Source organism: Homo sapiens, chromosome 8 (genome assembly GCF_000001405.40).
Source record: "Homo sapiens chromosome 8, GRCh38.p14 Primary Assembly".
Taxonomy (NCBI): domain Eukaryota; kingdom Metazoa; phylum Chordata; class Mammalia; order Primates; family Hominidae; genus Homo; species Homo sapiens.
The window spans coordinates 38,011,659-38,033,743 of record NC_000008.11 but is presented as its reverse complement, the minus strand read 5'-3'; the positions used below and the strand labels follow the sequence as shown (position 1 = coordinate 38,033,743).

The window sequence follows — 22,085 nt, the reverse complement described above, 5'->3', positions numbered from 1 at the left end:
GGAAAGCAAACTGGAGTCATAGGAATGGAGATAGTGCAACCCAACTGCTGCTTCTTTCCCTCCAGGGACAATCACTTGAGGGCCATTCCCAGCAGGAGTGACTGGGGGGTACTTACTCCAATGGTTTTTCCTGAGAAGCTGACAGTCCCTATAAGTAAGCAGGTGCAGACAGCCATGCAGACACTCTATCAAAAGCCTGGCTCTCCACACCACGATTTAGAGATCAAAGTTTACCTGGATGGAGCCATCTTTTTTTTTTTTTTGCTAGACTCCAGAGATCTGAAAGGTGAGGGAAGTTATGTTTCACTAATTCCTGAGTACTCAGAGTGTGGTATGTGCACCAATCAGTCAGAGCTAGTTAGAAATGCTGAATCTAGGCCGGGCATGGTGACTCACGCCTGTAATCCCAGCATTCTGGAAGGCCGAGGCAGGCAGATCACTTGAGGCCAGGAGTTTGAGACCAGCCTGGTCAACATGGTGAAACCCCCGTCTCTACCAAAAAATACAAAAATCAGCTGGGCATGGGTGGTGCATGCCTGTTGTCCCAGTTATTGGGGAGGCTGGGGTGGGAGGATTGCTTGAACCCAGGAGGTGGAGGTTGCTGTGAGCTGAGATTGCGCCACTGCACTCCAGCCTGGGTGATAGAGTGAGACCCTGTCTCAAAAAAAAAAAAAAAAAAAAGAAAGAAAGAAAAGAAAGAAATGCTGAATCTAGTTCCCACCCCCACCTACAGAATCAGAATATGCACTTAAATGAAGCCCCCAGTTATCCTCAAGCACCTGGAAGACTGAGAGGCAGTATTCTGCTCTGGAGCAAAAGGGTGTGACCATTTTGGCTGCAATGTGACCATTTTGGCTTCTCTGCCCTGGCAGAGGTGGGCTGAGGTGGGCTTTGGAGGAAGAGTCCACACCTTGGCTAATCGAGGCCGACCAGGCTTGCTTGACTTTAGTGGAAGTCAGCCAGGTTTCCCTGGCTTAGGGACTGTGAGCTGTACCTGCTCCACTGGACGACCAAACAGTGAGCTGGCTTTAGGCTCCTGGCACTGCTAGCTTCTTCCAGTGATCTCAGAAACATATGCTATGCCCTGATGCAGAAGTCCCTTCCCCACTCCCCCTACTGCTAAAGACCTTCAAAGGGAAGGGGATTTGCTGTGGTCTGTCAGCCCCCTGCCCACTCCCCACTTCCCAACCCAAAGTGAAAAGTGGATTTGAAGTTCCTATATTTTATATTTATTATTTATTTTAGAGATAGGGTCTCGCTCTGTCACCCAGGCTGGAGTGCAGTGGTCAATCATAGCTCACTACAGCCTCCAACTCCTGGGCTCAAGCGATCCTCTGGCCTCAGCCTCTGTAGTAGCTAGGACAACATTTTGTTGTTGTTTTGTTTGTTTCTTTGTAGAGATGGAGTCTCACTATGTTGCCCAGGCTGGTCTTGAACTCCTGGCCTCAAGCAATTCTCCTGCCTTGGCTCCCCAAAATGCTGGCATTACAGGTGTGAACCTTGGTACCCGGGCCAGAAGTGCCTATAAACAGTATCCTGGCTTCCAATTTGACCCAACAATCCAGCAATAAAGAGTGCAAAAAAGGGCTACCTGCGCCTTCAGGCCGGCCTCAGGGCCCACCCTGAACAAATCCAGCAGACACTTACACCCTCATTTGAAAGAACTCCAAAATTGTCAGGAATTGTCCTGGTAGACCATTGTGACAGAGACAAAGGAGAACAGCATGGACTACAAAAGACCCAGCAAGGGAAAGAGGATGAGTCGGGAATGGCAACAAGAGCCCCTGCGAGCTTTTCCTTGGCTCATTTCTAATAGAAAAGGAAGCATTTCTCCCTTCTCTGCCTGGTTGCTATTTCTTGTCCAATCTGGGAAAACGGTGTGACAATGGGCAACAGACACGTGTTCAAGCTCTGGGGCCTCAATGCCGGGCTCTGTAGAATAAGACGGCAGGGCTGGACAAGATCCCTAACCGTTCTAACAGTGTATGTTTTGGATCAAACAGCAGAGGACCTCGGATCTGGCCGCGCTCGCTGCTGGTGGGACAGCTGCCTGAGAAAATAAGCATGTGGCCCCCGCCCGCCACCTAGCCAAGCGCCAGGATCTGTCGCGTTTTCTAGTAGTATGGAAAGCAGCGTGGAGGAGAATGAAGGGAGAGGAGCAAAAAGGGGTGGGGGCAGTGCGACAATGAGAGGGGAGGAGAGAGCCACGAGGATTTATTTCATCATGCAAACAGGCGCGTAGGTTTCATCAGCGTCTGTGCGCTGGGGCTCCGGGGCTGGGAGGGAATGCCAGGTTCCTGAGGGCAGCCCGAGGCTGGCCCCCCCACCCGTGCCAGCTCAGCTTCCTCTTCCTCATCCTCTCCCAGGGAGGTCACACGGTGCCTCCTCCTCTCCCCGGACAGAAGAACGTGTTTTTCTGCACAGCCCTGGCCGTGGCGCCAGGGTCCCCCCCGCGGAGATCCCACTCGCGTAAATGGGGAACGTGCCACAGGTGCCCGGGAGGCGCTGCTGGAGCAGGCAAGCACCCCCAGATCCGAACCTCAGTCAGAGCGCGCGAGTCCAACACAAAACTCGGCGTGCTTCGGGAAGGAAAAAGGGCCCTGCAGGAATCGTTTATCCCAACAGATAATACCCATCCCATAAAAACACCAGGCCAGGCCTCTCCTGGATCGTGGGCCACCCTAACTCCGCCCTCTCCCGCTTCGGGAGCGCCCCCAACACCCACAAGGGGCAGCACAGCTCGGCATGTGGCTGTCCTGGAGGCGTGCGTGTTTGTTAGGTGTCAGCTGTCTGACACCTAACAGAAAGAGGAAACAAACGGGGCAGTTTGTAACTCGGGTCTGGAAGACGCACTCAGAGGGGAAGCGGGCGGCCACTTCCATGACCCTCGCTGTCTCTCCGATGCCCCTTTTCCGTTCTTTCCAATCACGGCGCCCTTGAGCCTGGACACCCGGTCCAATCCGCGATTCCCGATCCTCCCGCCCGCCCAGGAGCCGGCAAGCGGCGTCGCCAAGCCCGCGCCTACCTCCCGGGGTGGTGCTGAAGAGCGTGCCGCCGGGGGTCGTGCTGTAGTCCCCGGGCGGGAGCTGCACGCCGTCGCCGAGCACCACCCGGCGAGTGGCGGGGATGGCCCGGCTTGGGGTCTGGCTGCAGCTGCTGCCCCCGGACATGGTCTCCTGTGCGCTGCACCCGCGAACCTCTCGCTGCCCTCCCGCGCCTCCAGCCTCGCTCCGCCTCGCCCCGTGCCGCCCCGCCCCAGGACGCCCCTTCCGCCTCTCCCGCCCCACGCCCCTGGGATTTGTAGTCCGCGCCGCAGCCCCACCCAGCTCCAGGACGCTGCTTCCACGTGGGATCCCCCGCCGCCCCCCGACCCACTCCCGTCTGCTCACGGGCTCTTCCGCACGGGCGCTGGCGCCGCCCCGCAGCGACTGCCCCTCCGTCCGGGGTCCCTCCCCGCCACGCTGGCAGGGACGGATATGGGGATGGCGGGCGGGATAGCTCGCCTAAATTAATCCTTGGCTGGGTTGGGGGCGGCGACTCAGGACCGCGCGGAGATCCGAGCTGACCCGGCCCACTGCAGGAAGGCCCGGTTTCTGCATTAGGACATCAGGCCTGGTGTACCCTTCGGCACTCCCTGTTTCGTGCCTTAGTTCCTCAGATGAGAAAATGGGGATTGAGTAGTTATGCTCACCGCCCCCCGCCCCGCTTCAATTTCTTGACCTTGATGGGGGTGGGGGTGGAGGGGCTAACAATTCCGTTCCCGGCCTTTAGAGAGGGTGTGGGAGGAGGAGTGAACCAACCAGCGGCGTCCTGGGAGCTAAATTTAGAGCTGGGGGCGCAGAGGTGGGTGGTGGGGAAGGGCGTTGGAGAGGAGTAAGAGTGTCGAAGAGGTTTCCCGATAGCCCCTGAATTGAGTCCAACGTCCACCTGAGGTTTAGTAGGTACTCCTTGGATGGATGGATGGATGGATGGATGGATGGATGGATGGATGGATGTTCAAGGGGAGAGAGAAAAATGCAAGAAGGACCGAGGATGGAAAAGCTTGTTGGGTTTGAGAAGTTCTTAGCATTATGGGCACATATTGTGGGGAAGAGGGTGAAGAGGGGAGGGCAGTTTAAAAGGGAAATTGGGTGGTGCACCTGTAATCCCAGCTACTCAGGAAGCTGAGGCTGGAGGATGCTTGAGCCCAGGGGTTTGAGGCTCCAGTGAGCTGTGATCACACCACTGCACTCCACCCTTTGTGACAGAGACCCTATCTCTAAAAAAATATATAATAATTTTTTAAAAAGGAAATTGGGGTCAGGTCGTTGAGTTTTTCAAATTATGCCAAAGTGCTTGGACTTTGTCTTAGAAGGGCAGGAGATATCAGAGATCTTTTAAGCAGGGGGATGACATGATTTGAGTTGTTTTTTGGAAGGATAACTAGTAGCCAGTGGAGTTTCAGAATGGGCCAAGGAGGGCAAGGCCTGAGATAGGGAGACCTGTTGAGTTTGGTCTCACTTTTGAGGGAAACTTTAGGCCTACAGTGGCTAAGACAGTAGCCACCAGCTACAGGTGCACATTGAGCACTCCAAATGTGACCAGTCCAAACTGTCACAAGTTTAACATACACACCATATTTCAAAGACTTAGTGTGAAGAAAATCATGTAAAATACCTGAATAATTTGTTTCTATATTGATTGTATGTTGAACTGATAATATTTTGAGTATACTGGGTTAAGAAAAATACATTATAAAAATTAATTTTGGGCCAGGCGCAGTGGCTCACGCCTGTAATCCCAACACGTTGGGAGGCCGAGGCAGGCGGATCATGAGGTCAAGAGATCGAGACCATCCTGGACAACATGGTGAAACCCTGTCTCTACTAAAAATATAAAAAAAATTAGCTGGGCATGGTGGCGCATGCCTGTAGTCCCAGCTACTCGGGAGGCTGAGGCAGGAGAATTGCTTGAACCTGGGAGGCAGAGGTTGCAGTGAGCTGAAATCATGCCACTGCACTCCAGCCTGGCGTCAGAGCAAGACTCTGTCTCAAAAGAAAAAAAAATAAATTTCGGCTGGGTGCAGTGGCTCACGCCTGTAATCCCACCACTTTGGGAGGCCTAGGCGGGTGGATCATGAGGTCAGGAGTTCAAGACCAGCCTGGCCAAGATGGTGAAACCCTGTCTCTACTAAAAATACAAAAAAACAAAACAAACAAACAAACAAACAAAAACAACAGACCGGGCACAGTGGCGGGTGCCTGTAATCCCAGCTACTCGGGAGGCTGAGGTGGAGAATTGCTTGAACCTGGGAGGCAGAGGTTGTAGTGAGTAGAGATCTGCCACTGCACTCCAGCCTGGGTGACAGAGTGAGACTCCGTCTCAAAAAAAAAAAAAAAAAAAAATTAATTTCATCCAGGTGCTGTGGATCACACCTGTAATACCAGCACATTTGGAGACCGAGGTGAGCAGACTGCTTGGGCTCAGGAGTTTGAGACAAGCCTGGGCAACATGGTGAAACTCTGTCTCTACAAAAAAATTTAAAAATTAGCCCAGTGTTGTGGCTCACACCTGTGGTCCCAGCTACTTTCAAGGATGAGGTAGGAAGATGACCTGAGCCCCAGAGGTGGAGGTTGCCATGAGCCAAGATTGCACCACTGCACTCCAGCCAGGGCTCAAAAAATAAATAAATAATATAAGATAAAAATAGACCAGGCCTTGCTGGTTGCAGCGATGTGCACTTGTAATCCCAGCCCTAGCTGGGATTACAAGGCCAGAGGATTGCTTGAGGCCGGGAGTTCAGAGACCAGCCTGGGCAACATAGTAAGACCTTGTTTCAAAAAAGAGAGAGTTTCAGGCCGGGTGTGGTGGCTCACGCCTGTAATCCCAACACTTTGGTAGGCCGAGGGGGGCAGATCACGAGGTCAGGAGATTGAGACCATCCTGGCTAACACGGTGAAACCCCATCTCTACTAAAAATACGAAAAAAAAAAATTACCCGGGCATGATGGCAGACGCCTGTAGTCCCAGCTACTCGGGAGGCTAAGGCAGGATAATCGCTTCAAACTGGGAGGCAGAAGTTGCAGTGGGCTGAGATCGTGCCACTGCACCCATCCTGGGTGACAGAGCGAGACTCCATCTCAAAAAAAAAAAGAGTTTCACTCTGTTGCCTGGGCTGGAGTGCAGTGGCTAATTATAGGCACAATCATAACTCAGTGCAGCTTCCAACTCCTGGGCTCAAGCCATCCTCCCACCTCAGCCTCCCCAGTGGCTGGGATTACAGGTGCATGCCACTGCACTTGGCTAATTAAAGAAAAGAATTTTTTGGCCGGGCGAGGTGGCTCATGCCTGTAATCCCAGCACTTTGGGAGGCCGAGGCAGACAGATCACCTGAGGTCAGGAGACCACCTGGCCAACATGGTGAAACCCTGTCTCTACTAAAAATACAAAAATTAGCCAGGCGTGGTGGTGTGTGCCTGTAATCCCAGCTACTCAGGAGGCTGAGACAGGAGAATCACTTGAACCCAGGAGGCATAGGTTGCAGTGAGCCAAGATCCTGCCACTACACTTTAGCCTGGGCAACAGCAAGACTCCATCTCAAAAAAAAAAAAATTTTTGTAGAAATGAGATCTTGCTATGTTACCTAGGTTGGTCTCAAACTCCTGGCCTCAAGTGATCCTCCCTCCTCAGCCTCTTAAAGTTTTGGGATTACAGGCATGAGCCACTGTGACTGGCCCCTCTACCTTTTTCTAGAGCAGGAACTCATTCATATGGAAAAAACAGCTTTTATCTGAGGAATGGGAATCCTTTTAAATTATCAGGCCTAGACATTAAAATGAGACAGCAATCACGTCCCACTACCCCCTTTTGAGCTATGTATTCATCTCTTGAAACTGCTTGCTATTGTCACAAGTAGCCATAAATTAACCTATTAATAATAATGCTGCACTAAAGACTATATAGGGTGTGGACACTATAACTTAACAGTGTATAGCCAAGGCTGGGTGCAGTGGCTTACTCCTATGATTTCCACACTTTGGCAAGCCAAGGTGAGAGGATGGCTTGAGGCCAGGAGTTTGAGACCAGCCTGGGCAACAGAGAGACCCTCCCCCTTCATCTCTACAAAAAAATTTTTAAAATGTGGCCGGGAGTTGTAGCTCACGCCTATAATCCTAGCACTTTGCGAGGCCGAGGCAGGCGGATCACCTGAGGTCAGGAGTTTGAGACCAGTCTGGCTAACATGGTGAAACCCCGTCTCTACTAAAAATGCAAAAAGTAGCCAGGTGTGGTGGTATGCGCCTGTAGTCCCAGCTACTAGGGAAGCTGAGACAGGAGAATCGCTTGAACCTGGGTGGCAGAGGTTGCACTGAGCCAAGATCACGCCACTGCACTCCAGCCTGGGTGACAGAGTGCCTCATCTCAAAAATAAAATAAAATTAAAAATTAAAAATCAATGTATGGAGAATGATTAATTGATACTATTTCTGTAAACCAATGAGATTTCTTGACAGACCACTTTGTATCAGAACCTATTGCCTTAAACTTGTAACTTGTAAACTTGTAATTCCTGTTAATTGGAGTGTATATTCAGGACATGAATCTATGCTCCTGGGTTGCAGTCCTCAAGTTTAGCCCAAATAAACTCCCTACTTATATTAATTTTGCCTCAGCTTCTTCCTTAGGTTGACAATATCAAGTCTTGTAATTGAGTAGAAAAGGACATAGGAAAAAAACCCAAATTCTTCTTCTTCTTCTCACATGTCCAACTCCACACTCAGACACCAGCTGGGTGAGGTTTCCTCCTTACACAGCAACCGAGCAATTTGGCCAAGGTAGATTCTCCAAGGGACACCAGCTCGATGTCCTCTAATTCAGTCAAATTCTGACATTATCTGCCTGGAGATAGTGCAAGATCCCACAGGTTAAGGGCTCAGTCCTACAAGACTGCCCCCCACTTGAGATGTCAGTCAAAAGTACAGCCTGTGATCTGTGCTTCTGACAACCCGGGCCTTGGGTTTGATTCATTTGCTAGAGTGGCTCACAAAACTCAGGGAAACACTTAGGTTTCCCGGTATTTTATAAAGAGTATTACAAAGAAGCAAGGCACAGGCACGTACGCGCCTGTAGTCCTAGCTATTTGAGAGGCTGGGGTGGGAGAATCACTTGAGCTCAGGAGTTTGAGGCCAGCCTGGGCAACATAGTGAGGCTTCATCTCTAAGTATAAATAAATAATCTAGTGATTTTTAAATTATTATTATTATTGTTTGAGACACATTCTCACTCTGTTGCTCAGGTTGGAGTACAGTGGCTTGATCTCAGCTCACTGCAACCTCTACCTCTTGAGTTCAAGAGCACACAAAAGATGCTGTTATCTCTCTGGAGATTCTAAGTGTTTTAGGAGCTCTGTGTCAGGAAACAGGGTGAAGACCAAATATAGCCCTCCCTCGGTATCTGCAGAAGAGTAGCTCCAGGACCTCTTGAGGATATCCTCAAGTCCCTGATATAAAATGGGTAGTATTTGCATATGTCAACAAAAGAGCCAAACTCTGTAAAATATCTAAAGAGATGTATTCTGAGCCAAATATGAGTGACCAATGGCTCATGACGCATCCTCAGGAGATCCTGAGGTCATGTGCCCAAGGTGGTTGGGGTAGAGCTTGGTTTTATACATTTTAGGGAGACATGAGACATCAATCAATACATGTAAGATGTACATTGGTTTGGTCCCAAAAGGTGGGACAGCTGGAAGTGGGAGCTTCCAAGTAATGGGCAGATTTAAAGGTTTTCTGATTGTCAGTTGGTTGAAAGAGTTATTTTCAATAGAAAGGAATGTTTGGGTTAAGATAAGGGGTTTTGGAGACCAAGTTTTTTATCATGTAGATGAAGCCTCCAGGCAGCAGGCTTTACAGAGAATAGATTGTAAATGTTACTTATCAGACTTAAAGAGTCTCTTCTATCAGCAATTCCAAAAAGGAGGAAGGTATAATGAGGCATTTCTGGCTCCCCTTTCCCATCATGGCCCCAAACTAGTTTTTCAGGTTAACATTGGAATGCTCTTGGCCTAGAGGAGGGGTCCATTCAGATGGTTGTGGGGGGACTTAGACTTTTATTTTTGGTTTACACATATAACCTATGCACATCTTCCAGTATACTTTAAATCATCCCTAGATTATTTATAATACCTAATACAATATAAATGCTATTTAAATAGTTGTCGTATTGTTTAGAGAATAATGACAAGAAAAAAAAGTACATCAGCTGTGTCCAACCCTTTAAATGTGAGGACTTTTTTGCTTATCTGTGGTGGCAGATATCACAAAAATTGTACATGGACCTTTTTTGTTGTTGTTGTTTAGCTCATCAGTTGTCATTAGTGTATTTTATGTGTGGCCTAAGACAATTCTTCCAGTGTGGCCCAGGGAGGCCAAAGGTTGGACATCTATGGTGTACATATTCAGTACAGATGCAATTCTTTTTTCTGAATACTTTTTCTTTTTTTTTTGAGACAGAGTCTCACTTTGTCACCCAGACTGGAGTGCAGTGGTGCAATCTCGGCTCACTGCAACCTCTGCCTGCTGGGTTCAAGTGATTCTCCTGCCTCAGCCTCCCAAGCAGCTGGGATTACAGGCATATGCCACTACGCCCAGCTAATTTTTGTATTTTTAGTAGAGACAGGGTTTCATCATGTTGGCTAGGCTGGTCTTGAACTCCTGACCTTGTGATCCACCCGCCTCGGCCTCCCAAAATGCTGGGATTACAGGCATAAGCCACCACACCCAGCCTTTCTAAATATTTTTCTATGCAAGCTTGGTTAAGTCCACAGATGAGCAGCCCTTGGATATGGAGGGCCGAGTATTTCACCATGTCACAGAGTATCAGCTCCTGTCATATGGACATCCATGTTGTCACAGAGTATCAACACAGGGCAGGGGCCATGTGTTTACTTACTCTCACTCTCCTCAGCACTTACCCAAGAGAGGCCACTGATAATACTTTTGGGTGCTGCTGCTGCCAAAAGCCAAACTTGTTTCTGACTTTTCTTCCAGGCTCATTTAAGTCTATTACTTAAGCTCACAACTGTTACAGCTGGAGGCCAAAGAAAAGGAGGGCCAGGCATGGTGGCTCATGCCTCTAATCCTAGTACTTTGGGAGGCCAAGGTGAGAGGATGGCTTAAGCCCAGGAGTTTGTGACCAGCCTGGGCAACATAGGGAGACCCCTATATTAATCACCACCACAACAAAACTTAGTGGGGTGTGGTATATGCCTGTAGTCCCAGCTACTTGGGAGGTTGAGGTGGGAGGATTGCTCAAGCCTGGGAGGTCAAGGTTACAGTGAGCTGTGTTGGTGCCACTGCACTTTGACCTGGGCAACAGAGTGAGATGCTGTCTCAAAACAAAAAACAAAAAAAGTTGGAATGAGCTGAGGAATGTTTTCTAGAACCAGTAAAGAAAGTTAGGGTGGGAGGCTGGGCACAGTGGCTTGTTGCGGGAAGTCAGGGACCCCAAACGGAGGGACCATCTGGAGTTGTGGCAGAGGAACATAAATTGTGAAGATTTCATTTTAATATGGACATATATCAGTTCTCAAATAATACTTTTATAATTTCTTACATCTGTCTTTACTTCAATCTCTGAACACAAATTGTGAAGATTTCATTTTAATATGGACATTTATCAGTTCCCAAATTAATACTTTTATAATTTCTTATGCCTGTCTTTACTTTAATCTCTTAATCCTGTTTTCTTCGTAAACTGAGAATGTACGTCACCTCAGGACCACTATTGTGTTAACTGTACAAATTGATTGTAAAACATGTGTTTGAACAATATGAAACCAGTGCACCTTGAAAAAGAACAGAATAGCAGCGATTTTCAGGGAACAAGGGAAGACAACCATAAGGTCTGACTGCCTGCAGGGTCAGGCAGAGTAGAGCCATATTTTTCTTCTTGCAGAGAGCCTATAAACGGACTTGCAAGTAAAGAAGATATTGCTAAATTCTTTTCCTAGCAAGGAATATTAATAATTAAGACCCTGGGAAAGGAATGCATTCCTGGGGGGAGGTCTATAAATGGCCGCTCTGGGAGTGTCTGTCTTATGTGGTTGAGATAAGGACTGAAATACGCCCTGGTCTCCTGCAGTACCTTCAGGCTGACTAGGATTGGGAAACCCCACCCTGGTAAATTTGAGGTCAGACCAGTTCTCTGCTCTTGAACCCTGTTTTTTGTTGTTTAAGATGTTTATCAAGACAATAAGTGCACAGCTGAACATAGACCCTTATCAATAGTTCTGAATTTGCCCTTGTCCTGTTTGCTCAGAAGCATGTGATCTTTATTCTCCTTTTTGCCCTTTGAAGCATGTGATCTTATGACCTACTCCCTGTCCTTGCACCCCCTCCCCTTTTGAAATCCTTAATAAAACTTGCTGGCTTTAAGGCTCAGGTGGGCATCACGGTCCTACCAATATGTGATGTCACCCCCAGAGGCCCAGCTGTAAAATTCCTCTCTTTGTACTGTTTCTGTTTATTTCTCAGACTGGCCGACACTTAGGGAAAATAGAAAGAACCTACGTTGAAATACTGGGGGCAGGTTTGCCCAATAGCGGCACATGCCTGTAATCCCAGCACTTTGGGAGGCCTAGGTGGGTGAATCACTTGAGGTCAGGAGTTTGAGACCAGCCTGACCAACACAGTGAAACCCTGTTTCCACTGAAAATACAAAAAAAATAGCTGGGTGTAGTGGGTGCACTTGTAATCCCAGCTACTCAGGAGGCTGAAGCGGGAAAATTGCTTGAACCTGGGAGGCGGAGGCTACAGTGAGCTGAGATTGTGCCACTGCACTCCAGCCTGGGCAACAGAGCAAGACTCCATATTTAAAAAAAAAAAAAAAAGGAAGAAAGAAAGATAGGGTGGGGGATGCAGGGTCCGAGAAGAGGTTCCATCACACCTTGCTCTACTTGACCAACAGGCAGGGAGAGGCAGGGACAGATGTTACTTTAAGTGGGTGGAATTCATCTTGGTAACCTAAACAGGCACAATGGCCCCATCCTTCTGGTTTGAAATGCTTTGTGAGGTTCATAAATTATATTGATGGAAAATTAAGGACAGCCCTGAGCAGGCACCAGCACCCTCCGGTGTTCATCTCAACATGGCTCTGCTGATCTGGACCAGCTGGGGCAGGCGTGTCAAGAGAGGGCCCCCAGGAATGGTCCCAGGAAGCAGCAAGAGCTGCAAGAGTGAGATGCTTCCAGTTCGCTGAATGGAAACTGTAGTGGAGGCCAGGTGTGGTGGCTCATGCCTGTAATTGCAGCATTTTGGGAGGCCAAGGCAGGAGGATTGCTTGAGCCCAGGATATTGCGATCAGCTTGAGCAACATGATGAAACCCTGTCTCTACAAAAAATAGAAAAATTAGCCAGATGTGGTGGCATGTGCCTGTAGTCTCAGCTACTCAGGAGGCTGAGGTGGCAGGATTGCTGAAGCTGAGGAAGCTGCAGTGAGCCATGATTGTGCCACTGCACTCCAGCCTGGGCAACAGAGTGAGACTCTGTCTTCAAAACAAAAGCAAAAACAAAAGCAAAAAGAAACCTGTAGTGGAGCTGACTTCTGAAGCTGCTCAAGCTAGAAAGGGACTTGGGAGACAGTGCGAGAGAAGTGTCCTGGGTGTGTGTGTGTGTGTGTGTGTGTGTGTCTCCATTGCAAATTTTTTTTTTAATGGTATCTCTCTCTGTCACCCGGGCTGGAGTGCAGCAGCACAATCATGGCTCACTGCAACCTCTGCCTCCTGTGTTCAAGCGATTCTCCTGCCTCAGCCTCCCGAGCAGCTGGGATTACAGGCATGTGCCACTATACCTGGCTAATTTTTGTATTTTTAGTAGAGACAAGGTTTCACCATGTTGGCTACACTGGTTTTGAACTTCTAACCTCTGTGAGTCACCACGCCTGGTCTAATGCAAATACTATTTGATACTGAAGACATTCCCTGCTTCACCACTGGGAATCCTTTCTTGTCCTGTTGTCATGGCCCCAGTGATCTTTCGTGGCTCCTGTTATTTCTTGTACAATAAGGGATTCTGGGCTTTGTAAACCAAAAATAAAATTCTAAGCCCCTCAGTCATCTGAATGGACCCCTCCTCTAGGCCAAGGGCATTCCAAAGTTAACCTGAAAAACTAGTTCAGGCTATGAAGGGAAAGGGGAGCTGGATATGCCTTATTATACCCTCGTCCCTTTTAAAATTGCTGATAGAAGAGACTCTAAGTCTGATAAGAAACATTTACAGGCCAGGCACAGTGGCTCACGCATGTAATCCCAGCACTTTGGGAGGCCGAGACGGGCAGATCACGAGGTCAGGAGTTCAAGACCAGCCCAGCCAACATGGTGAAACCTGGTCTGTACTACAAATACAAAAATTAGTCAGGCATGGTGGCACATGCCTGTAATCCCAGCTACTCAGGAAACTGAGGCAGGAGAATCGTTTTAACCTGGGAGGTGGAGGTTGCAGTGAGCCAAGATCACACCACTGCACTCCAGCCTGGGTGACAGAGTGAGACTCTGTCTCAAAGAAAAAAAAAAATTGAAATATTTACAATCTATTCTATCTGAAGCCTGCTACCTGGAGGCTGATATGCATCAGAACCTAGGTCTCCACAATCCCTTATCTTAACCCAGACATTCTGTTCTATTGATTCTACATCTTTAGACAATAACTTAACTCTTTCAACCAATTGCCAATCAGAAAATCTTTGAATCCACCTATGACCTGGAAGGCCCCCCCCACCATTTTTCCTGTTGTCCTGCCTTTCTAGACCAAACCAATGTACATCTTACATGGATACGTTGATGCCTTATGTCTCCCTAAAGTATATAAAACCAAGTTGTGGCCCAACCACCATGGTCACATGTTCTCAAGATCTCCTGAGGATTGTGTCATGGGCCACTGGTCCCTCATATTTGGCTCAGAATAAATCTCTTCAGATATTTTTCAGAGTTTGACTCTTCATCAAGAGTGCCTCTTCTCAATTTCCTTCCCCAGATATAAATTCAGCCTTTCTTCAGAAAGCTCTGTTTCCATTCCAGATAGATTCATGGTATCCCAGCGTTGGAGCTCAGAAACCAATATGGCACTTTGACGTGCTGAACTGAAGAAGCCTCAAGGTCTTTCTGACTTCCTGGGCCCCCTATCTCTCAATCCTCTGTCTCTCCCAAAGCACAGGATGAAGTAGTTCTCTGAAGTTTCCTTATCTCCCTAAAGTCCACATCTGCCAAAGAAGAAAACAATCACCTCTGGTCCCTTCCATGCGTTCTCATTAATGGAACTCTGACCACAGGATGAAAGACTGAAGTTTGTCAACACACTTGGACAGAATTTTGTCACAAACCATTTTCTGCTCTACAATGCCAACAGACTTTGTCCTAGGCCATTGTATTGTAAACCAAAAAGTATCTGAGGCAGGATTCTATCAATTTAGAAGTTATTTTGCCAGGATTAAGGACATGCCCAGGAGAAAAGAACACAGAATCACAGAAACAGTCTGTGATCTGTGCCTCTCTCCAAAGAAGATTCTGAGGCTTCAGTATTTAAAGGGGAAAAGCAGGTGGGTGGGGATAGAGGGAGGGTGTGGTCATTCACATTACAAGACAAAGAGCAGGTAGGGAACAGTCAGTTATAAATTTGCCTGGTGCTCAGTAAACTGGCACTTTATATAAGATAAGGTGAACATAGCACAGCTACTTGTGGGCCTGTTTAACTTTATATCAGTAGATGTCTTAGGAACAAAAGGAAAGCCAGCTTCTTGTATGATTCAGTGTTCAGCTTAAGGGGGTTTTTCCTTTTGGCATTTTGAGTTGGGGTCCCGAGGTTTTATTTTCTTTTGACACTTATCCCTCCTTTTCTTTTGACACTTATCCCTCCTTTTCTTTTGAAAATCTTTGCCGGGCGCAGTGGCTCACGCCTGTAATCCTAGCACTTTTGGAGGCCAAGGTAGGTGGATTGCCTGAGCTCAGGAGTTTGAGACTAGCCTGGGCAACATGGTGAAACCCCGTCTCTACTAAAATACAAAACAAAATTAGCTGGGCGTGGTGGCACGCACCTGTAGTCCCAGCTACTCGGGAGGCTGAGGCAGGAGAATTGCTTGAACCTGGGAGGCGGAGGTTGCAGTGAGCTGAGATTGCACCACTGCAATCCAGACTGGGTGACAGAGCGACGTCTAAAAACAAAACAAACAAACAAAACTGTTTTTTTTTTTTTTTTTTTGAGATGGAATCTCGCTCTGTTGCCCAGGCTGGAGTGCAGTGGCACAATCCCACTGACTGCAACCTCCACCTCCCGGGTTCAAGCTATTCTCCTGCCTCAGACTCCCTAATAGCTGGGATTACAGGTGTGCACCACCACACACAGCTAATTTTTATATTTTTAGCAGGGCTAGGATTTTGCCATGTTGGCCAGGTTGGTCTCGAACTCCTGACCTCAGGTGATCTGCCTGCCTCGGCCTCCCAACGTGCTGAGATTACAGACATGAGCCACCAAGCCAGGCCAAGAGAAAGCATTTAAGAAGAAAAGGAGTCTCTGGTTTTTGTTTTGTTTGATCTGTCATGGTTAGGATGGTTTATTCCTAGATAGGTCCCATGTTGTTAGAAAAGCCCATTTTCAGTAGTTTGTGAAGTATCATGTCCCACGAATTAAAAATAGGGAAAGGAAGAAAGAAGGAAAACAGAAGAAGAAAAGGAAGAAATAGCAAACAAAGAAAAAAGGGAGAGCAATCCTGGAAAACCAATATAGGCCATATTACTCTGAAGTCCATGCATCAGCAGGCAGGTATAAAAATGGTTTATGGACTGGGCACAGTGGCTCATGCCTGTAATCCCACCACTTTGGGAGGCCAAGGATTTCTATCATTTGAGGCCAGGAGTTCAAGACCAGCCTCGCCAACATGGCAAAACCCCATCTCTACTAAAAACACAAAAATTAGCCGGGTGTGCTAGTGCACGCCTGTAGTCCCAGCTACTCAGGTGGCTGAGGAGGGAGAATTGCTTTAGCCTGGGAGGTGGAGGATGCAGTGAGTGGAGGTCATGCCACTGCATTCCACCCTGGACAACAAAGGGAAACTCCGTCTCAATAAAATAAAATAAAATAAAAAACCAAAGGTTTATGTATATAGACAGGTTTCTCTTATTTTCCTCTGAAATTTAAGGTGTCTAGCTTCAGTTCACAGCACTTTAAGAAAAGCATAGCTTAATTTTTAGGGATTTCAAATCAGGATAAATGGGGGGAAAAGAAAAAGAAGAAAAAAGTTGCAAACATTATTTTGGAGACTTGTAGCCAGGAAACATTTCAGGATTCAGTTCAAATTTTAAGACATAATAAAATGGAAAAGCACTGGACAAGGCTAGAAGCTAATAACTGGTGTACTATAGTTTATTGTGAAACAATTTTTCTCTCTCCAACTCCTCAGTTTTATTAAAGATGAAATCATAGTAGGATCAATTTATTTGTAAAATAAGTTTTAGTCTTATTATAGTTGGCTTGATTATTTGCATAAATGCAACAAGAATAATTATTGGCCATATAAGTGCTCTCTCTATTTTTATTTTTATTTTTTACACAGTCTCATTCTGTTGCCCAGGTTGAAGTGCAGTGGCGCGATCCAGCAAACTGCAACCTCCACTTCCCAGGTTCAAGTGATTCTCCTGCCTCAGCCCCTCAAGTAGCTCGAATTACAAGCATGCACCACCATGCCCAGCTAATTTTTGTATTTTCAGTAGAGTCAGGGTTTCACCATGTTGGCCAGGGTGGTCTCGAACTCCCGACCTCAGGTGATCCACCTGCCTTGGCCTCCCAAAGTGCTGGGATTACAGGCGTGAACTACTGCGCCTGGCCGATTTAATATAACTTTAGATTCTAAATTATATGTTTATTTACAAGCATTTGTTTTATTAAATTTACCTAGTTAATCAATTTTTTTTTTTTTGAGGGAGTTTTGCTCTTGTCGCCCAGGCTGGAGTGCAGTGGCGTGATCTTGGCTCACTGCAACCTCCTCTTCCCGGGTTCAAGTGATTCTCCTGCCTCAGCCTCCCGAGTAGCTGGGATTACAGTCGCCCACCACCATGCCTTGCTAATTTTTTTGTGTTTTTAGTAGACACCTGGTTCCATCATGTTGGCCAGGGTGGTCTCGAACTCTTGACCTCAGGTGATCCGCCCACTTCAGCCTCCCAAAGTGCTGGGATTACAGGCATGAGCCACCACTCCCAGCCTAATTAATTTTTTAAAGATAGTTTACCTAGATAGCTTATGAAAACTGTGATAGTCATCATTTAAAGTTATTTTCCTGTGAAACATTTTTATATCTTATGAATTTCAGATGTTTACCAAAGTAAGAAACTTAAGGTTAAATAAATGTTTGTTTTGTTTTATTTTATTTTGCCAATAACTCAGGATTTAGCTGTTTCCATTAAGCCAACATTAAATACCTTATTTATTTAAAAATTACACAAACAATGATAATTCTCTTTTGGGCTACATTTATAGCTTTATAACCCTCATGCCACATTTTGACAATTTATAATATCTAGCAGAGATAATATAAAACCACTTGACTAATAAATCTAAACAATAATGTATGTTGACAATTCTGAAGACATTTCTAATTTTATTTTACAAATACTTTTAAAACCAGGTTATTTATTAAAGATTTACTTGTCACACGAACTTAAAAAGGCAATTAGGCTTAAAGTTTCTACTTTTCTATAAAGTGTTTAATTTAAGTAAATTTTACTTAAATTTTACACACCTGTAATCCCAGCACTTTGGGAGGCGAAGGTGGGTGTATCACCGGAGGTCAGGAGTTTGAGACCAGCCTGGCCAACATGGTGAAATCCTGTCTGTACTAAAAATACAAAATTACCCGGGTGTGATGGTGCATGCCTGTAATCCCAGCTACTTGACGGGAGAAATACTGGAACCTGGGAGGGGGAGGTTGCAGTGAGCTGAGATTGTGCCATTGCACTCCAGCCTGGACAACAGGAGCAAAACTCTGTTTCAAAAGTAAAAAGAAAGCTACATACCTCCCTCACAATTTGCTTGTGCGCCCCAAGATCTTTACCTTAAAACAGTTCTGTTGACTTTCACCCTGGCATTGTAAACTGATAGCTTATCTTCCCAGGTGCAGAACAGAAAGTCATCCCTCTCCTCACTTGAGACAAATGCATATCTGATTGCTTCCTCTGATCTATGTTTAAGTGAAAACGCAGATTCACTGAGTCAGACTAAATTGTGTATTCAGTGAAAGACTGGTCAAGGACTCAAAAGAATGCAACCAGGCTGGGCATGCTGGCTTACACCTGTAATCCCAGCATTTTTGGAGGCCTAGGTGGGTGGATTGTTTGAGCCCAGGAGTTGGAGACCAGACTGAGCAACATGGCAAAACTACGTCGCTACAAAAAATACAAAAATTAGCTGGGTGTGGTGGTGCACACCTGTAGTCCCAGTTACTTGGGAGGCTGAGGTCTGAGGATCGCTTGAGCCTAAGAGTTCGGGGCTGCAGTGAGCTGTGAGGATGGTGCCACTGCACTCCACTTGCCTGGGAGACAAGAGTGAGACCCTATCTCAAAAAACAAACAGGCTGAGTGTGGTGGCTCATGCCTGTAATCCCAGCACTTTGGGAGGCTGAGGTGGGCGGACTACTTGAGGTCAGGAGTTCAAGACCAGCCTGGTCAACATGGTGAAACCCCATCTCTACTAAAAATACAAAGATTAGCTCTGCATGATGGTGGGCACCTATAATCCCAGCTACTCAGGAGGCTGATGCAGAAGAATTGCTTGAACCTGGGAGGCGGAGGTTGCAGTGAACCTAGATTGAGCTACTGCACTCCAGCCTGGGCGACAGAGTGAGACTCTGTCTCAAAAAACCAACCAAAGAATACAACCTTTTGTCTTTTATCTGCCTATGACTTAGAAGCTCCTTCATTCCACTTCGAGTTGTCCTGCCTTTCGGGACCAAACCAATGTATGTCTTACCCATGTTGACTGATGTCTCATGTCTCCCTAAAATATGTAAAATCCAGCTGTACCTCAACCACCTCGGGCACATGGTTGACAGGACCCCCTGAGGCTGTTTCACAGGCACATCCTTAACCTTGGCAAAGTAAACTTTCTAAATTGATTGAGACCTGTTTCAGGTATTTTGGGTTCACATTGATAACCTGTTTCATTACTTTAGTCAATTGTCAGCTTGATAGCCCTAAATTTGCATAGTAAAGGAACAACTCACGTTAAAATCAGATAGTGAAATTTACTTTCCAGAGTACAGAGAGGGAGAAAGAAAGAGAATCTGGGTGTGTTAGAGGGAGATTAAAAAGGAATACCAAGCCAAACATATAATTGTTAAAATCTACCACAGGATTTTATAATTTAGATACTTTTTTTTTTTTGAGACAGAGTTTCACCCTGTCGCCCAGGCTGGAGTACAATGGCACGACCTCGGTTCACTGCAACCTCTGCCTCCCGGGTTCAAGTGATTTTCCTGCCTCAGACTCTCGAGTAGCTAGGATTATAGGCACGTGCCACCACGCCTGGCTAATTTTTTGTGTCTTTAGTAGAGATGGGGTTTCACCATGTTGGCCAGGCTGGTCTTGAACTTCTGACCTGGTGATCCACCTGCCTTGGCCTCCCAAAGTGCTGGTGCTGGGATTACAGGTGTGAGCCACTGCCTTTTTTTTTTTTTTTTTTTTTTTTTTGAGACGGAGTCTCACTCTGTCATCCAGGCTGGAGTGAAGTGGTGTGATCTTGGCTCACTGCAACCTCCACCTCCCTGGTTCAAGCGATTCTCCTGCCTCAGCCTCCCTAGTAGCTGGGATTACAGGTGTGTGCCAACATGCCCAGCTAATTTTTGTATTTTTAGTAGAGACAGGGTTTCACCATGTTGGCCAGGCTGGTTTCGAACTCCTGAACTCAGGTGATCCGCCCACCCTGGCCTCCCAAAGTGTTGAGATTATAGGCATTGAGGCGGGAAATTAAAGAAAGAAAGAAAAATAAAATTAAAAGGAGAAAGAAATAAGCTTTCCTGTATTAGGCTGACTTGTCCCAGAGGCAGCAATGGGCACAGCGCAGACCCAGGGAAAGCCTTGATAATACTATCTAAGAAGCCAGGACACAAAGGAACGTGCTCTGGAGGCTCTCCCAGCACTTCCTCAACATAGGGAGAAGAGAAACAAATTTTCCTTTGTTTTATGGTATGAGTTTATAGATTCTTGTTCTCTGTACCTAGTAACTTCAAGTATTCTGTTTTATCTAAGAAGTACAGCAAAGGTCATGAGAAGCCTGAGCAGGCCCGAACAACAGCTGTCTGGGCACCATAGTAAAGGTTATGAGATAAACCAGTGCAAGGCTCTTTAGAGTAAAACCTAGATAACAGACATCTAGGTTGCTTGGCATTGGTCATGTGTAGTCCTGAGTTATGAACCTGTCACAATTTGATTAATTGTTCTGACTCTATATCCTTGCTTTCACGCCACTGTAACTGTAAGCCTGCTTCAAGCTAGCCCACCCCCTTTTTGAAGTGTGTGTAAAAGTCAAGTGCTGTCTTTGTTCTGGGCCCAGCGTTTAGATATTATGTCCGCTGGGTCATCTGAGTGCACTCAATAAAGATATCCTGTATACACCCCAAGATCTCTCTCTGGTCTTCCTGATCCCCCAATGGCACGAGCCACCGTGCCCTGCCTAGACAGATAATTTTAAATTTAGTCTCTATTAACTGTACTTCTGGGCTCTGGGCAGAGCCCACACTGAATCCTGGGTCTCCAGAAAGAGAGACATCATGAGAGTAGGCCACGTAATGCTTTTACAGTGCACTTTGTTACAAAGCTATTACATTGTGTTTTAAGTGTTTAAACCACACCCGTTCTTATCTTCAACACTTAAGAGTAGCCCCTGTAGCAATAACTATTTCGATAAAGAATAAAATAAAATAAAATAAAATAAATTAGGTAACTCAATACAAAAGCCAGCAGATTAAGATCTGAGAGGAACTTGTCTGTTTACCCTTTGGGATTTCATAAGGAAAAACAGGGGCTTCTCCTAAAAAGGAGTCTGGCGTCTTCTCTGTTTTCTTTCTTTCTTTGTTTTTTTTTGAGACGGAGTCTCCCTCTGTTGCCCAGGCTGGAGTGCATTGGCGCGATCTTGGCTCACTGCAAGCTCCGCCTCTCGGGTTCACGCCATTCTCTCGCCTCAGTCTCGCCAGTAGCTGGGACTGTAGGCGCCCGCCACCACGCCAGGCTAATTTTTTTTTTGTATTTTTAGTAGAGACGGGGTTTCACCGTGTTAGCCAGGATGGTCTCCATCTCCTGACCTCGTGATCCGCCCACTTTGGCCTCCCCAAGTGCTGGGATTACAAGCGTGAGCCACCGCGCCCGGCCCTTTTCTGTTTTCTTCAGGGAATCCCAGGCTGTTAGAAATTATTTAAGATCCCTCAGGCAGCAGAGGATGGCATGAGGAAGGAGAGACAGAGAGAAGTATATGGAGATAATAGAATTCAGTCCACTGAGAAGAAAAAAAGCATTTTTTCTCAAAAAACAAGATCCTAGGAGAGAAAAAAATGCATGAAGACCTTTTAAATATATATCTAGGCCAGGCTCGGTGACTCATGCCTGTAATCCTAGCCCTTTAGGAGGCTGAGGCAGGAGGATTGCTTGAGCCCAGGAGTTTGAGGCCAGCCTGGGCAACATGGGGAAACCTAGTCTCTACTAAAAATACAAAAATTAGCCAGTTGTGGTGGCGCACGCCTGTAATCCCAGCTATTTGGGCAGCTGAGGCACAAGAATTGCTTGAAAGGGGGAGACTGAAGCAGCAGTGAGCCGAGATTGTACGAATACACTCCAGCCTGGGCAACAAGGTGAGACCCTGTCTCAAAAAAATTAAAACTAAAGCTGGGCACAGTGGCTCACACTTGTAATCCCAGAACTTTGGGAGGCTGAGGTGGGCGAATCACCTGAGGTCAAGAGTTCGAGACCAGCCTGGCCAACATGGTGTAAACCCTGTCCCTACTAAAAATACAAAAGTCATCCAGGCGTGGTGGTGCATGTCTATAATCCCAGCTACTCAGGAGGCTGAGGAGGGAGA

The 22,085-nt window shown here is 46.8% G+C and overlaps 1 protein-coding gene across 1 annotated transcript in view, besides 5 other annotated features; it reads right to left on the bottom strand.

The window, feature by feature from the left end:
• Nucleotides 1-3,210, bottom strand: part of EIF4EBP1 (eukaryotic translation initiation factor 4E binding protein 1) — a 29,832-nt gene extending 26,622 nt beyond the window's left edge. The window contains exon 1 of the mRNA NM_004095.4: nt 3,026-3,210. Within this exon, the coding sequence (NP_004086.1) occupies nt 3,026-3,170 (145 nt within the window). The 5' untranslated portion in view covers nt 3,171-3,210. The remainder of the gene's footprint in view (nt 1-3,025) is intronic.
• Nucleotides 2,390-2,489: an enhancer, noted in NCBI's record as "active region_27240". NCBI's record gives its function as "activates an Ori minimal core promoter by ATAC-STARR-seq in GM12878 lymphoblastoid cells {active_cell/tissue: GM12878}" and the evidence as "EXISTENCE:reporter gene assay evidence [ECO:0000049][PMID:35858748]".
• Nucleotides 2,990-3,429: a silencer, noted in NCBI's record as "silent region_19114". NCBI's record gives its function as "represses an Ori minimal core promoter by ATAC-STARR-seq in GM12878 lymphoblastoid cells {active_cell/tissue: GM12878}" and the evidence as "EXISTENCE:reporter gene assay evidence [ECO:0000049][PMID:35858748]".
• Nucleotides 3,119-3,413: an enhancer, noted in NCBI's record as "tiled region #54; K562 Activating DNase unmatched - State 1:Tss, and HepG2 Activating DNase unmatched - State 1:Tss". NCBI's record gives its function as "activates a minimal TATA promoter and a strong SV40 promoter by Sharpr-MPRA in K562 cells, with weak activation in HepG2 cells {active_cell/tissue: HepG2 | K562}" and the evidence as "EXISTENCE:reporter gene assay evidence [ECO:0000049][PMID:27701403]".
• Nucleotides 17,945-18,446: an enhancer, noted in NCBI's record as "NANOG hESC enhancer chr8:37872816-37873317 (GRCh37/hg19 assembly coordinates)". NCBI's record gives its function as "activates a minimal SCP1, AML or CMV promoter by ChIP-STARR-seq in primed H9 embryonic stem cells {active_cell/tissue: H9 hESC(primed)}" and the evidence as "EXISTENCE:reporter gene assay evidence [ECO:0000049][PMID:30033119]".
• Nucleotides 19,355-19,526: a silencer, noted in NCBI's record as "fragment chr8:37871736-37871907 (GRCh37/hg19 assembly coordinates)". NCBI's record gives its function as "represses an EF-1alpha promoter that drives an FKBP-Casp9 reporter gene in an ReSE screen in K562 erythroleukemia cells {active_cell/tissue: K562}" and the evidence as "EXISTENCE:reporter gene assay evidence [ECO:0000049][PMID:32094911]".